A 12,262-nucleotide genomic window follows, 5' to 3' on the forward strand; every position below is an offset into this window, starting at 1 on the left:
TATGTGCCATGTTTTCTTTATCCAGTCTATCATTGATGGACATTTGGGTTGGTTCCAAGTCTTTGCTATTGTGAACAGTGCTGCAATAAACATACATGTGCATGTGTCTTTATAGTAGCATGATTTGTAATCCTTTGGGTATATACCCAGTAATGGGATGGCTGGGTCAAATGGTATTTCTAGTTCTAGATCCTTGAGGAATCGCCACACTGTCTTCCACAATGGTTGAACTAGTTTACAGTCCCACCAACAGTGTGAAAGCATTCCTATTTCTCCACATCCTTTCCAGCATCTGTTGTTTCCTGAGTTTTTAATGATTGCCATTCTAACTGGTGTGAGATGGTATCTCATTGTGGTGTATCTTAACTTTCACTTTGGAAGTCTGAGGGAGGGGAAGCTTCCTCTGAGGCGGCGGGCTCAACTTAGGCAAGCAGAAGAAGAGTCCCAGACCCTGTCAGGCTCCAAGGTGAGGCCCGGAAGAAGTAAGGGAACCGCTCACCACACTGGAAGGGTCTCCTCCAGCTTCACCTTGCCCCTGGATGTGAATGCCTCCAGGTAGGGTTCCGGGATTTGGTGTGTCTGGCCTTTCATCTTTAGAGTCGCACGGAGGAAGGAGGCGTCTTCTGAGAGGACTGAAGTTGGCTTGGCAGAGGGAGGAGTCCCAGGCTCTCCAGGTATTAAGGTGAGGGCCCTGAAGAAAGACAGAGGAGATGTCTTACCGCAGAGAGAGGACAACCCAGCTCCCTGCCCCTTCAGTCAGCCCTGCGATGCTGCAGACAGGGTTCCCGGATGTGGTGTATCTGGGCGTCCCTCTTTGGAGTCTGAGGTAGGTGAAGCTTTATTTGAGGGGTGTAGACTGAGGTCAGGAGAAGGAGTCGTCCTAGGCAGTGCCAGACATCAAGATGAGGACCCTTACGGAGGGCTGAAGGGATCTCCCATCAGAAAAAACGGAGCCCGTAGAAACTCATTCCTGCTGTCAGCCCTGGGAGGCTCCAGTCAAGCAGGCACACCTTCCCCTATTCTCCGCACTTCCTTGTTGGAGAGATAGGAATCTTCACTTGAGGGCTGCATCCTCAGTTCAGCAGAAGGGAGGCAGTGCAAGTCCTGTCGGGAGTAAATAGGATGACTTTGGGAAGAACTGAGGAGACTCCATCTCAGAACCCAATGGGATCGCCACAGAAATTCACCCTAATCCTCACTGTCAGCCTGAGAACCCCAGGAAATACTCTCTGGCTGAGCGTCCTCTTTTACATGCATCATACACAGGTTGGGTGTTGTAGGGGGATGAGAGCCTTGGTCTGAATGGCCAAGCCTCTGCTTATCGTGGGGAGGAGTCGCAGGCCCTGCTAGGCATAAAGGCAAGGACCCTTAGGTAGGGCCGAGAGTACCTCCCACCCCAGATAGAGAAGGCACCACAGAAACCTCCCCTTCCCTGAAAGGCCTCAAGCTTCGCTCTAAGGCAGAGGTCCCCCCACCCCACTCATCCCCCTCATTTCCTTGTCTGGCCCATCTGGGATATGGGCACCTTAGCATAAGAGAAGCATCCTCTAGTCAGAAAAAAGAATGGGTTGCAAGCCCTGTTGGGAGTAAAAATACCCCCAACTCAGAACCCAAAGGGAGCCGCATAGATACCTGCCCTGACCCTGCTATGAGCCCTGGTAGAATTTACTCAGGTCTGTTAGGCTGAGGCCCCAACTCATTTCCTTCTGGGTGATCTTAGTTAAGTTAAGGGCGTTAGACGGGGTGCAGCTTCCAGTCAACACAGTGGGGAGCCCAGCCCTGCCAGGAGTCAAGGTGAGAACTCAGAGAATGGACTGATGAGGCCTCCGACTGTAAGTAGAGGGACCCAAACCATGTCCTGCTCCTGCAGCCAGCCCTGGAATACCCTGAGTAAGACTGTTAGGCATAGGCACCTCCCTCCAACCTTCCACTTCCCTCACTTGCTTGTCTGGCATGTCTGGCCATGGAAGCCCTGGCCTGAGGGAGGTATCCTCAGGACAGCAGAAGGAAAGCAATGCAAACCCTGTCATGAGTAAATTTGAGTCCCTTTGGGAGAATTGAGGGCAAATCTTACTCCAGACAAAGGAAGTTTCCATCAAAACCTGCCCCACACCTATTGTCGGCCCTGGTAGCCCCCAGGGAGGTCTGTCTGTAAGTCTCCCCTCATTTTCCACTGACCTGAGAGTCTCAAAGAGGAGAAGGCCTTTGTCTGGGACGGCCAAATTCAGGTCACCAGAGGGAGGAGTCCCAGGCCCTGCTGGGCATGGAGGTGAGGACCCTGAAGGATAACTGAGTGTACCGACCACCCAAGGACATATTAAGTCCAGCCCCTGCTATCAGCCCTAGGAGTTCCTGGGCAGGGGTGGCTGTATGTGGTACTTCTTCACTTTTGTCTCATTGGTCTCAGGGAAGTGAAGGCCTTAGTCTAAGGGGGCAGCTTCGCATCAGTAGAGGAAGCTACATCTAGTCAGCCCAGGAAGGAGAACTAGGTTATACCAAGAGTCCAAGTGAGGATCCTGAATGAGGATTGAGGGGACCCCCTGCCACCTTCATAGAGTTGAGGCACCTGCCCTACACTATTCCTTCCCCGGGAGGCCCTGGAGCATGGTGTCCAGATGTGCTGTGCCCTCCATCCCATCAGCTGGACTCAGTTCAGCAGAGGGAGGAATTTCAGGCCCTTCCAAGAGTCAATTTGAGGATGGAGGGGACTTGACAAAAACAGATGGGCCCAGCCCTTCCTTCCCTGGTGTTAGCTATGGTAGGACCCAGGAGTAGTGGGGGATCCACTCCAAAGCTGTGAGGACCTCAGAGTCTGGCCCCATCCCACCTATCAGCCCTGAAGGGACCCCCTGAACTCCTCTTACAGGGGATCCAGGAACTGGAAGTGAAGGCCTTAATATGAGGCACATGTCCTCAGCTCACAGAGAAGAGGAGATCCAGTCAATGCCAGGAGTCATGATGAAGTGCAGGACGGGAGACCTGTGGGGCCCTAGAGCACTAAAAGAGGACCTGTTAAGACAGTATTTATCAGAATGACAAGGTTAAGTTTTTCACACTCTTCCTCTCCCCCAGTCCAGTTGGCTTCATCAGCCATCTCCTGACCATGCTCCTGTAGGCTGCCCCCGAAACAAGTCAAGATGCCTCACAGCCAAAAGAGTCGGCACTGTGAGCTTGAGCAAGGGCTTCAGGCCCCCAAAGAGGCACAGGGCCTTGTAGGTGTGCAGGTTGCTGAAGCTGAGAAGGTGAATACCACAGCCTCCTCCTCTCCCTCTACTCTGATCCAGGGCACCTTGGAGAAGGTGTCTGCTTCTGGAACACCAGGTACTCCCCAGAGTTCTCAGAGAGTCTGCTCCCCCTGCACTACCATCAAAGCCACTCCATGGAATCAATCTGATGAGAGTTCCAGAAGCCAGGAAAAGAAGGATCCAGGTGCCTCCCAGGCCCTGTGAGAGCCCGAGTCCTTGCTTGGTAGCATGCTAGAGAAGAAGGTGGACGAGTTGGTGAAATTCCTGAGTGTCAAGTATACAACAAAACAGCCCATCACAGAAGCAGAAATGCTGAAGGGTGTCATCAAAGAACACAAGGATCACTTCCCTCCGATCTTTATGCAAGCCCATGAATGCATGGAGATTGTCTTTGGCACTGACATGAAGGAGGTGGACCCCATCAGCCACTCCTGTGTGCTCCTCAAATCACTAGACCTCACCTACGATAGGAGGCTGAGCGATGACCAGGGAATGCCCAAGACCGGCCTCCTGATTCTTACCTTCGGTGTGATCTTAATGGAGGCCAACTGTGCCTCTGAAGAGAAGATCTGGGAAGTGCTGAATATTATCAGGGTGTATGCTGGGTGGAAGGATTTCATCTATGGGGAGCCCAGGAAGCTCATCACCAGAGATTTGGTGCAGGAAAAATACCTGGAGTGCTGTCAGGTATCCAACAGTGATCCTCCAAGATACAAATTCCCGTGGGGCCCAAGGGCTCATGCTGAAACCACCAAGATGAAAGTCCTGGAGTTTTTCTCCAGAGTCAGTGGGAGTGATGCCAGTTCCTTTCCACTCCTGTATGAGGAAGCTTTAAGAGATGAGAAAGAGAAAGCTCAGGCTATAATTGCCACCATGGGTGGTACTACTCTCATGGCCAGTGCACATTCCTGGGCCAAGTCCAGCAGCTTCTCTTGCCCTGAGTGAAGTCTCAGGCAGATTCTTCACTCTGTGTTTGAAAAGAGAAGTCAAGGTTTTAAGTAGTGAAGGGCTGATTGCAGATTTTTATCTTTTTGTTTGTTTGTTTGTTTTTGCTTTTTGGTATTTTTCAAATGTTTCTCTTAAAAGGCTTATTAGCTTCAGAATGCAGATTCATGAATGACATTGCTCACACATTTATTACTGTTTATCAGGTTTAAAAATAAAAGTTTTCTATTATATAAACCAAAGGGGGGAAGCTTCCGTCTTATTTTGTGATCTGGAATAAGATAACATGGTGTTGGAATAGGAATTTTCTCAGAAATGTGTAACAGCCTAGCAATAAAACTAATGAGATCAATAAATACAGGAAAAACATAGAAGATGGTTAATTGTAGGATTTATGTATGCCTCTTAATCTGTGGTTTTGTATTAAAGATTTATACCTGAATTATTTGGCTTATTCAAGAATGTATGAGAAATTAAATCTTATTAAATATGAGCCCCAGTTCACTGGCTCATTTATTCCCCAAACATTAATTGAGCATCTGCTCTTTGTAAGGCACTGTGTTAGTAGTGGGGATTCCAGGTTAAGTGAGGAGGTTGGCAAGATGCCCTTTAAGACCTAAAGAGCAAGTACAAAGAAGGAGTGAGGAAGTGGGACTTCAGATTAAACAGTCAAGAAAAAATGCTTGAGCTAAGGAAGTTTGGAGATTTGGAAAAGTGCAACTCCTTCTGTGGGAGTTAATTTTAAGTTAAGCTGGATGGTGGCAGGGGCCAGGCGCTCAATATGTCTTATAGGTGAGATAAAAGCCTGGAATGGAAAACTGCTCCTAGCAGTTCCTTCTAGATGGTGGACAAAGCAGAGAGGAATCTCCACCTGGGGCAAAGTATGGAATGTGGCCTGCACTCATCCCAGTGTAGTTGAACAGGGTGCATGAACTAAGTGTTCATACACATCATCTGCAAGGGTTTCCTGAGAAATAGGGTGATACCCCCTTAAAGTGGTGCCCAGAAGCCTCTAGGCTGGCATTCATTTCCCTGGTGTGGGAGAGCCAGGGCCGACTCTATTAAAAAGGCATTTAATTAAATGATCTTGACTGTAATTTGGCCAGTTCTAAGCAAAGGCTAGATTTTGAGTGAGAGTGGAATGAATGAAAATAGTGATTTGCATGGAAGAGAAGTTGGGAGGGTTGGAAGGAGTTACTCCTTGACTCAAAACTTCTAGGATCCTTGAGTTGCATCCAGCTGGTGAAAACTTCCCTACATCCAAATCAAATAATGTGTCTATCAATAGGAAAAATTTACTGAGTTTTATTTATAAAGTAGCATTTCTGACCCATTTGGTGTGTTATGTCCTAGTGTGCTGCATATTCTCTGAAATATCCTTGATATCTCTTTCTCTCCCCCACCTTCCCAACACACACTCCCAGAGAATATGGTACATATGGAGGGTTTAGGGTTAAAATCATATTGAAAACAACTGCCATTCATGAAAGATCCAATACATGCAAGTGGCTGTGCCAGTTGCCTTACTCACATTACGTACATTCCAACACTTCTACAAGACAGGGCTTATGAAATCCACCTTACGTATGAAGAGCCTGAGGCTCATAGTGCTTGATAATTTCCCCAGATCATATAACTAGTAAGTGACAGGACTGGGACTTGACCTCTGGCCTGAATTCATCTAGGCCCACACTGCCCCACTCATCCTAGCCTGAGGCAGGCCTTCTGCCTCTTGGTTCATATCTGTTCTCAGTTCTCCATAATGTTGTTCAGGTAACAAAAAGAACCTTGTGGCTAAGGTACTAAAAAGCAGGCCCAAGGAAGGAAGATGGAATGAGAAACACAATCTGAGAGTAGTCTGTGGGCTTTATGAACCTAGGGTCCTCCTGCCTGAGCCCCGTGGTCCTTGAGAGCTGATTCTGCCCAGGCGCTCACATTTTTGTCCTGTCCCAGCACTTCCCTGCATTACAGTACCCTTTCTCTGGTGTTGACCTGTGTGCCCCCCTGTCCAAACCTGGAACCTGGACTGCTTACCAGATCATCACTGCCTCCTCCTCTGAGGGCTGTGCCCTGCTCCAGGTGGAAGAACTCAAAATCACCTGCCCTTCCCCTGACACAGAGCATTCCTTCTATCTGCAGATGTTCCCTGAACTGTTCCCTCCCTCATTCTGGAATCCCGTTGATAGCAACAGCCCTTTCTAATGTTAAAAGCACACTTTGGAGGATGTTTTGATGCCTGGTCATTCCCCCTGGGCCTCTTCAACACATACTCAAATTGTCTTGCAAATGGATTAGTGAGTAGAGTTTGATTTGCACATAATATGCTGGTTCTTGGGATATAATCCTAAAGTTAGAAAAAGAGATCTTTTAATCATCCTGATATTTGCGATAGGAATTTAATAAAGTGTATTATTTGAAGCAGGCCACTGAATGCATTGACGAATGGTAATACTTTGATGGTTGAAAAACCAAAGCCTCCCTTATAAGCAGTAGGCAAAGAAAGACCATATAAATTACTTGATAAGCAAACATCTACAAAAGGCTGAATTCCTAAAATCCTAAATTTCTCCTAGGAGGTGAACAATAATTCCCTGACAGACATGCTAGCTCTGATGAAAAAGAAAATAAAGGTTCATCATCATTCTACTTGCTCTTGTCTGTGTTTCTGCCTCCACAGGAAAATCCTGTTTTGTAGTTCACTTAATGGTACCTGTACAGGTGTTCCAAAGTGTTCAGTCCTGTGGAAGGTAGCAGAGACTCGTAAGTTAAGATTTTGACCATGCATCAAATAGAAGGAAAAAATTCTTAGTCTACTAAAATTATGGAAGTTTTTGCAAAGATCAGTGCAGAACTCCCTGCAAAGATTTCTAGGATTCTTTGAAAACTGGATGTGATCCTGTATTTGAAAGCACTTAAGAACCGTGGTGAATTTCAAGATGAGTTTAGTTTTCTCAGAAACTCCTCCAAGAAATGAAGAGTGTTGTAATAACAAGTTATGATAGTTGCTTTTTATTGAGCACCTATTATGTGACAGCAAAAGCCAGTGTGCCATTTCCATGCCTCCTCTCTCATCGAGCAGCAAACACGGTGGCCCTGAGTTCAGATGGTGGAGCTACAGAACAGGGAAGCAGCCTGTATCCCTGGGTGGCCTGACGGAGGAAGTCCCTGGCAACCTACATCAGAATTTATGCACACAAAAAGGAAACTTTCGTTGTGTTAAGCCATTCAAATTTCAGGTTTTATCTGTTGCATCAGCTAGCAGTTACTTAACTGATAAATGCACAACTTTTATTTATATATATGTTCATATAATACGTTTTATTTCAATATAAAATTATTATATTTAAATTTTTTATACTTATATGTATACTTGTTTACATAAATATTTGAATAAGTCTCGAGGAACTCCTAGGCTTATTTAAATATTTTCATTACAAAAGTAGCTGTGCAAGTACACTTATTGCAAAAAATTTTAAAAATACAGATCAGATCAATCAAAATTCTTGCCTTTAGAAAGTTCCTCCAACATTCAGGCACCTTTTTGGGGATAACCACAATTAACAATTTGATGTGTATTATTTTAAAGCTGAATCTAGGCTTTTTCATGGATTAATATAGTAGAAAATTATATTGTGAGTTTTTTTGGTAGAGTCAGCTGAGTCTTTATTTTGGAAAAATACAATTGAATTGGTTTTTAGTTAGGGGGCATGGGCAAGATCAGGTACCCCAGGCAGCAAACTCCCCTCAACGGTAGGCTAAGGGCTATGGCTGAGCGTCAGATGGGTCTCCCGCTCCCTATGCTCCCCTGTTTAGTGGCCTCTCCCACAGGTTCTGGGGCAGCCACAGGAGTGGGTAGTCTGGGAGGGGCATCTCTGGCAGCACATCAGGGGACCCTGACACTAGCTTCCCATCACAGGTCTCGATAATCTTCACAACCATGGCCCTGGAGGAGCTCCTGTGGCTAAAGGCATCAGAGCCCCTGCCAGAGCCAAAGCCAGAGCCCAGGCTGTAGAGCTTGTGAGGCTCCCATAGGCCAAGCTCAGCCCACCTGAGTAGCCACTGGTGGTCTTCCTACGGATACTCATGTTACTCATCCCAGATTCCATCCAGCTCTTCTCATCCTCCACTCCAGCAGCCTCCTGTAGGTGGCAATCTTGATGTCCAGGGCCAGCTTGAATTTCATCAGCTCCTGGTACTCACGCAGCTGCTGGGCCATGTCCTGGTTGGCCCCCTGCGGGGCTGCCTCCAGCGCCACTAGCTTTGCATTGACGTCCTTAACGGGCATTGGTGTCCTTAACAGCCAGCTCCCCACACTGCTTGGCATCTGCCATGGCAGCCTCAGGTAAGCCATCTGGCTTTTGAGGCCCTCAGTCTCATCTTAGAGCTGGCTGATGTTCCAGTTCATTTCAGAGATATCCATCTTTGTACAACACAGGTCATCTCTGTGCTTCCCAGGCAGAATCTGCAGCCCCTCACACTTGTTCTGGTGCATGTTCTCAGCCTCAGCTGGGTTATGGCTGGCAATCCCCTCACACTGGGCACACTTGGCAATGATGCGGTCCACATCCAGGGAGTAGCTGTTGCCCATGGACAGGAACCACAGGTGTGTCCAAAAACTGGGACTGCACCTCAGGATCTTTTCTTCATACAGCTGCCTGAGGAAGTTGATCTCATGGGTCAGCTCTTTCAGCTGAGACTTTAGCTCTACTTTGTTCATGTAAGCTTCATCCACATCCTTCTTGTTGAGGACAAATTCATTATAGCTGTATGCTTATTGATCTCATCCTTGTACTTATTCCTGAAGTTTTCCACCAGTCCCTGAATGTATTCAAGATCTGCTTCCAGCTTCAGCTTTTTCATGGCCCAGGGTTTCCAGATGTTTCCAAAGGTTACTGATGTAGTTGTCAAACATGATGTTGTTCCAAGCTGCCTTCTGCTGTGGCACGAGGCTCCACTTGGTCTCCAGCATCTTGTTCTGCTGCTCCAGGAACTGCACCTTGTCAATGAAGGAGGCAAACTACTTGAGAGTCTTGATCTACTCTTTCTCCTGGGCGCCCACAGCCTGGATGTTGGGGTCCACCTCCACCTTAAGAGACTCTGATTCACCTTGAGTGGAGGCAGGCCGGCTGAACCAGATGGAGATTCAAGGAGCCCAGAAGCTGCTTCTGAGTAGAAGCATTTTTTAAAAAATATGCATGGGTAATGAAGTACACATTCACCTGACATTTGCGTTTGCCACTTAATAAAGTGGATGCAGAATCTTTCCATAACAGCACACATAAATCTACCTCGCTTTTGTACCTACTCCCTAGTATTCTAAAGAATGTAAGAATGTATGTGTCATAAATAATTGAAAATTTTTCCTCCTAATGGACAAATGAGTTGTTTCTAGATTTTTTTGTATGATTAATAGGACTTAAATCAACATTTTTTTAAACATGAATTCTTGGTCAAATGTGTGTTTTTTTCTCATAAGAAAGACATTTTAATGTGGAAAATTGGGTTTAAGTGGGAGAGGTGTGAATGTTTTTAATTTTTATAAATGTTGCTGACATTTTATTCCAAAAATGCTGCAACATTCATTTTCTCATAAACCAATGTATGTTAATACCTACATGCTCAGAACCATTTTTTATTATTAATATTTTAAATTTGGGGTAAAATTATGGGTGAACAAGTATTATCTCACTATTGTTTTAATAGATATTTTCTCATTTTCTCATTAGGTTAAGCAGAAAATATAACTTAATTCCTCACCCATACAAAGCGAGATTTATGCAGTGATGTCCAGAGCAACAGAATTCTTCCGGGTATGGTTTAAAATTCTGAAATGTCAACCATTCTCCCTTTGCTTTGAGAAGCAAGGGTTTGGTCAGAATGTTCAGGAGCAGAGCCAGGGAAGAGGACCAGACAGGACACCCCTAAGCTAGTGAGGGGCATTGGAAGGATCTAAGGAAGAGTAATTGCCAGAGTCCACGAGCAAGACCACGTGCAAAATGGTTCCAGAGAGCCCAAGGCCAGGTGACACTCAGAGCTGTAAATCCGGAGTTCAGTGTAGAGTGAAGCAGTGCCTATAAGAGAAGGTGGGAAATCTGGGTGGGGAGCATGGTGGTTCAGGACAACTTATGTGAATAGGCTTGGGGAATCTCTGAGTCTTTGTTACAAGCTGGAAGCTTCATTGTGGTCTGGGTAGGCAGGTCTCGTGACAGAGCGGACCAGTGGCATGCCAGACACACCACCTTGCCTTAGAGTCATCTTATGTCCTGTCAGGAAGAGCATGGCTAGCTACCCAGCATTATTCTAGGTGAGTTACGTCTCCTGACTACTCTACTAGTCCATGACACCCTTGCCAGTTTCCCAGGCCTGGAGTTGTTGCAATGCCTGCCAGAGTGTGGTATGTTTTCCCCTCCACAGTGGCCCTCCTCCATGGAGGCTGAGGCTTTGTGAATGAATGGGGTTGGTGACTGATGACCAGCAAGATAACAAGCAGAAACACTGAGGAGCAGTGGAAGGGATGCTGCAGCTTCCAACAGGGGCAATTGGAGTGGGAATGCCCTGGGACAAATTATCTCAGTGACTGCAGATAAAGGGCTGAGGGTAGACTTGCCTGGAAAACGGTCCAAATGATGTCCCCTGCTCAGATTACCTCCCTTGGAATCTGAGCCGTTGGCACTCTAGAGGGTGGGTGTCTTGTGGCTATGACTGCTGGCCTATGTTGCCACCAGATGCTGTCTGGCTTAGAGGATTGGCCCAAGGTGCAGACATGTGCAGTGTAGATGGAAAACCCATGCAGATGGCACATGCTTCCTTGTTAAACTAACAGGAATATGTGGGGTGCAAAGCAGGAAGCATCATGTATGATGATGTTGAAAGCATCCCCACAGCCAAGATAGTGTTTAGGCCTGGAGATGAGACATCCATAATGACACACTCTGTGCTACTTTCCCTTGGGAATTCTGAAGTTACATGAGCAGTTGTGGCACTGTAGGTTTTTTTCCATGGAGGCAGAAAGCCCAGGCATGAGGCAGCCTCCACATTTTGAACCAGCTAATGTGACCCTCTGGTACTTTCATTTATTCATTTATTCTTCCAGCAAACATTTATTGAACACGCATTGAAGAAAAACAAATGAAAAAGACAAAGCATTAAATTCAGACTGGAAATTAGGCTGTGCTGCATCAATAGAGATCATTTGAGGTCATAGGTTTAGGGAAAATTGAGGTTTGTATACATAGCAGCCATCCTCTCTCTGGCAAACACAGTTAGCAACCAAACTCACACAAAACTTGATAAATCCAGGGAAGAATTTAAAGGGAGAAAGTACCCATCCAGAAAAATCCACCAGAGAAAAATGCCCTGTGTTTTCCTAAATATAGTCTATATGTATGTATGTATGTATGTATGTATGTATGTATGCATGTGTGTAGGCTTGTGTCCATGCTTGTGTATTTGTTGTTTGTTATATGTGTATGTAAAAAACACCCACACATACAATTATATATTGTGAGTTTTCAATCTCACATCTGCTATCTTAGGTCACCTCTAAGGCTCTAATCTTACTGGCACCAACACCCAGACACTCTTCTAACCCTGTGTGGCTGTTTGAGGGAGCTGGCAGATCTGCATTAACTAAAGTTTCTACAGCAAACAGGCAAAGTGTTGGGTGCAATCTTGGGCGCCAGGACCTGAAGGCCAGGTCTCAATTATCTATCATATTTATATCTAGCTGGTGGACAGCAGTTGTCAAAATTTTAGATGAGAGACCCATCATTCAATCTGAAGCCTTCCACAGAAATCCAATAAATGAACATGACAAGGCAGAGCAGTCTGATTGCAATGAGGACCATAAGACCAGAGTTTCATCCACTCAGTACCCTTTCTTCTTCCTCTGAAGCAGTGGGCCTTGACGCTCAACCCACAGAACTTTAGTCTTCCCTTGAGCCCTGCTAGGAAAGCTCTATGCTAAAAGACCCTTCCTCAGACACGGATTTCATCATACTCTGGTACAGGCAGTTATCTATGTGGACTTCATTGTGTCCAATGCACTGAATTTCAATTTTGCTGTCTAGCTT

The 12,262-nt window shown here is 46.1% G+C and overlaps 2 pseudogenes; one reads left to right on the forward strand and one right to left on the reverse strand.

Moving 5' to 3' along the window:
* On the forward strand, positions 3,082–4,678 carry MAGEA13P (MAGE family member A13, pseudogene; annotated as a pseudogene).
* KRT8P6 (keratin 8 pseudogene 6) lies at positions 7,863–9,275 on the reverse strand (annotated as a pseudogene).

Source organism: Homo sapiens, chromosome X, assembly GCF_000001405.40.
Source record: "Homo sapiens chromosome X, GRCh38.p14 Primary Assembly".
Lineage (NCBI taxonomy): Eukaryota > Metazoa > Chordata > Mammalia > Primates > Hominidae > Homo > Homo sapiens.